Genomic DNA, 5,037 nt, shown 5'->3' on the forward strand with positions numbered 1-5,037 from the left:
GTCGTAATGAGTTAATTCTATTAAAAATAAGACAGGAATAATCCCCATGAGTTAAGGTGGTTGAGGACATCATCATGGAAAAGCCATGACTTGAAGAACAGGTAGGATTCAAATGGAGTGAGAGGAGGCTGCTTGTGATTACTTGTGGGTCTCCAGGTACTGCAGAGTACCCAATGTAAATGATCTTTTTATTTACAGAGCACCAGTGTACATGCTCTGTTTGTCCAATTTATGCACAGTTATAGGGAGAAAAAGGATTGCTACAATTGTGTAATGACATAAGTTCACATCCCCAGAAAATTATAATTTGAGCAATGTCATTAAAAAACTTGAGATACAATTAAAAAGTACTTTTGAAAACAACACGGAGAACTCATAAAGAGGGTAGCTGGATAAGTTGAGAATTTAACTGGATCTGTATTTGCCAACTCCTGAATCCCTCCACATCCGCTCCTAATGTTCACCATCCACGTGCCCTTTGACTTGAAGGTGATTTATGACCCTCAATTATTTGGACTTGTCAGAATGCAATGCAGTGATTCTGCTCTCTGTCAGGGGTGATCCTACCCACTCTGAATAGTGATGGATTTTCTGATCAATTTAGCCAGCCATTTACACACACCTGGAAAGCCAAACCACTATGATGTTTAGCTGTGTTTTTCCTAAAGGGTCAAAATGTAATGAGCATCTAAACCAGGTTTCATCATAAGAAGCTGAGTGAGGTTTCTATCTGTAGTTTTAACGACAGTGTATATCTTCTAACTCCCTTTCCCCAGCCCTTGATTCACAACTAAGATTATTTCCAAATTCCTGCAATTCCCTACTCCCCAACTATAGACATGAAATTTTCTTTTATGTTGCTCTTTGATTGGACTGATATTCCAATACTTCATAAGATGTCTGTACACACAACAAAAGTATCCAGTACACCTGGGGTTTTACTTCTGCCTACAGAAATATTTTTTTTTTCCTGCAGAGTCAATGCCCTTGTCAATCACCCAGCCAGAGCCACAAATACAGGGAATAAATATGGATTTTAGAGAAAAAGAAATAAACAGAAGAACAACTCTAAAATAAAACCCTATTCAGGAAGAAAATCAAAAGAATATGTAGCTAGCATACCTATGCAAGAAGAGTGTCGAAAAGAAACTCTTAAAACAGAAAGGAATTGAAGAATCTTAAAACATTAGGAAGGAAGAAAGAAAAACAGAAAGTGCAAGATATGGGTAAATGTGATCTTGAGTTTTATCAATTATGTTGAGAAGCAAAACTTATAACATTTTTTGATGTGGTTGTCAATGTATTCATAAGAAATACTTAAGGTAATTATATTATAAACAGGGGAGGGTAAAGGAATTTAAGAGGAGATACTCTTTCTATACTCCGTAAAATGTCAATAACAGTAAACTATGATAAGGTATATAGATAAATTATATATATAGATAAATATATATCACCTAGAACATCTACTGAAAAATCTACCCAAGAAATATAGATAAATCAAATTTGAATTATTTTCCAGAAAATATCACGGCTGCCCACAACAAAGATGTAATTAGAAAACAAAGAAATGAATAACAGCGAGGGAAAAACAGAACCTCCCTCCCAAAAAAATATACACCACAAAGCAAAACATAAAATGGCAACATAAGCCTTAACATAGCAATAATTACATTAAATAAATATGGTCTCCACCTTCAAACAAAATTTTACTTCTTCCATGAGAATGTCCTCCTATGTCAATATATTTAAGCATTTTAAAATTCTCTTTTGTTTAGCCTATACAATTTCCAGTAAAGATTTCACACATCCTCTATAAATACTCCTAGTGACGGGGAGCTCTCTACTGCACAAGTAGGCCTATTCTGTTTTGACCAGATTTTAACATTAAAAAGTGATTCTTGATCAAAAAAGGCATTTATACGGAGACTATAGGATACACGACCTAGATGAAAATGTGGAAGGGTGTTAATTCTAGACAAAAAGGCAGAGATGGTCCAAGTTGATAAAAATACATGATAACTGTATGCTGCTACAAGAAATGCAGTTCAAATATAACTATAATAAATGTCACTTTATATTGCCTTGGCATGCATTCTGAGTATAGGGTTAACTGTCTCATACCAGAAGCAGGACTTCACTACTTTTGACATAGTTTCCAGTTCTTTAATTTCTCCTAGTTCCTCAATGTGGTAGATGCATAAATCTGCCCAATGCATCTTCCTCTCAGTAACCACCTCAACATGGGACTTATACATACAACATTTTTCTCAGTTATCTCTCTCCTAGAGAGTGGCTGTCTTGGTAGGAGTAAACTGGACACAGGTCAGACAAGAGTCACAAGGACATCACTCAGTATAGACAGGTTTCTTGTAAGAGGAATACCTGTTGAAGGTCAGGCACCTAGGCATTATGTCATCCACTAGGATTAAGAAGTATCCCGAGAAAAGCACAGTATAAACATCCATGACCACATCCCTTGGATTACTGTCAGGGAAGGGTAAGTTTATAGCTACTTTCAGGAGAGAAATATTAAGTTTGGATTAGAGGAAAATACAGCAATAACTATACATGTAAGTTGAAATTAGATGGTAGAAAAAGATTAAGAGCACATGTGTTAATATCAGATAAGGAGACTTCAGAGAATGAATTACTAGGGACAGAGAGGGACGTTACATCTTGATAGAAGTTTCAATCCAACGAGAACCCCACGTAATTCTTAATGAGTACTAACTAAAAAACACAGCTGCAGAATATGAGAAACAAACACTATAGAACTGAAACGAGAAATAGACAAATCCATAATTATAGGTAGAGTTCAATACTCCTCTCTAAACAATTGATAGAACAACTGACTAGCCAGTGTAGAGATGAACTCAGCAAGTGGCTATGCCACTTGTTTTGATCTGTAAGACAGGAATGATAATGATAATACTTATATCCTGCTTAATTTTTGTAAAGATAAAACAATGTATTTTTGTAAACAGCTTAGAAATATAACCCACATATAATAAGCCCTCAAATATAACAACCTATTGGTACATGGAAATCATGTATTTAAAATATAGTAAATAAACCAACACCCCAAAAGGAAAATGGGCAACGACATAAGTAATCAAATCATAGTTGAAGAAATGTCATTATTGAAACATACAGCCTCATTATTAAGTGTTTTCAAAATAAAAGAAACAATGAGAAAGAAACTCTTTTGGAAACAACTCTAATCACATCTCACGGGTTTTGCTGTTTCTATATTTGCCTCAATTTAATTAAAGCAACATACGACAAGCCTTGTTTTCAAAGAATCAGGAAAATTGTATAACTAGGTTTAAAAAATTCATTCTACCATTTAAATACAAGGAAATTGACAAACATTTTTCCTTAATTTGTTTCTTCCCTGGACACAGCTGATTACAAAGTCATAACTAGTGCTAGCACCTTGATACTGTTAAAGAATTAATAAATTATCAGTCTCAAATTGGGCCAAGGTCTATGGACACATTGTCCCCATAATGAAGACTCCTCTACTTACTGATTCTATTTTAGCCTCAACCCAGTTTGTTGCTACTTCCTTAAGGTAAATAACTTCTTATGAGAGGAAAAGATCCTGATTTAATAGGTCACTGAAAATGAGACATTTTAAGCCCAAGGCAGGAATTACAATAAATAAAATTAATAGCTAACATAGTTAAACATTCTTCCTTAGCCAGGCAGCTTACTATGTCCTATGTGTGTGTTATCTCATTTTATCAGCACAACTACTCCTGTGTATTTTCTAGTTTCATATCCCCACTCAGTCCTTACATTCTAAGCACATCAGATTACTCTAACTTCTTATATACCTTATTTGTTCCCATCACAGGTCCCTTGAATATGCTGTTCCCTATATACAGAACTCCCCATCCCATAATCCTTCCTTACCTACCAAATTCCTGATCATTCTTTACATTCCCTTTGAAATATCAGATAAAATTAGGTCCAACAAGTTCAATATCCATGTGAAACAGCTCTGTTGTCTGGGGTATATACCCCGGCTATTGGTCTCAGTCAAGAAAGAATTCAGGAGACAAACACACATGAGGAGTGGGTTTAGGAGTGGAAAATTTAATAGAAATAGAAGAAAAGAGAGAGAAAAATTTTCCTTGTGCTGAGAAAGTGTGTCGCCCAAAAGAGGGTCTCTGGTTTGCAGTGGAATGCAATCAGTTTTGTACAGAGGCTTGAGGAAATGGTGATTGATTTACATAGGGCTCAGGGGATTGGTTTGACCAGGAGTGCCATTAACATAGCCCGAAAAAGACTGGTCCTCCCACTCTAGTCTTTTATTATGCCAATGCAGCCTCCACCTGGTGGTAGCCCCACTGGTAAGAAGTTTGTACCCTTTTGCCGGCACGTCAGCCTTCTGGTTTCCTTTCCCTTAGCTCACCTCTAAGCAAAGCATTTTAAGGTTTGGGAAAATTAACTTTTCCTAGTTTGGAGGAACATTATAAAAGAGCCATTTTAAACCGTGAAAGAAGGAAAAACACCATAGAAAAGTCTGGGGGTTCCAATTAGGGTTGTCAGGAGGTATTGCCTCTCTTCCTATGTGGAATGATGTTTCCCCTGTTGCTTTGCCCTCCCTATTTTCTCTTTTCCTTTTAGGCCTACGATAAGAGACATATTGCCACATAAGCCTTCTGAGTTTGATATTATTCACTTTCTGATTGGGGGAAACTAGTAAGTATCATAACTCCTCTGAAATGTTTAGACAAATATCTTTTCTGTAATTTCTATACAGTTTTTTAAAATTTGTTTATTTACATCATGGATATAGTTTGAAATATATATTTGTTGCTGGGGACACACACAGCTATCTAAATGTGGCTCCATTATCACAATGATTTGCTGGTATGTAAATGTACCAACTATTAATAACTCCTATAAAAATGGCAATGTCACCCATTTCTGTGACCATGTCTTTTTCTATCCCTACCCCTCAGCTGTACTTGCCTAAGTAAACATTCTCTCTTCTCATGGTTCTGTTTAAGGCATACATTTCTT

General features: G+C 35.9%; 1 annotated feature.

The window, feature by feature from the left end:
• Window positions 4,005-4,586: an enhancer, noted in NCBI's record as "OCT4-NANOG hESC enhancer chr10:110797653-110798234 (GRCh37/hg19 assembly coordinates)". NCBI's record gives its function as "activates a minimal SCP1, AML or CMV promoter by ChIP-STARR-seq in naive H9 embryonic stem cells {active_cell/tissue: H9 hESC(naive)}" and the evidence as "EXISTENCE:reporter gene assay evidence [ECO:0000049][PMID:30033119]".

Source organism: Homo sapiens, chromosome 10 (assembly GCF_000001405.40).
Source record: "Homo sapiens chromosome 10, GRCh38.p14 Primary Assembly".
NCBI lineage: Eukaryota > Metazoa > Chordata > Mammalia > Primates > Hominidae > Homo > Homo sapiens.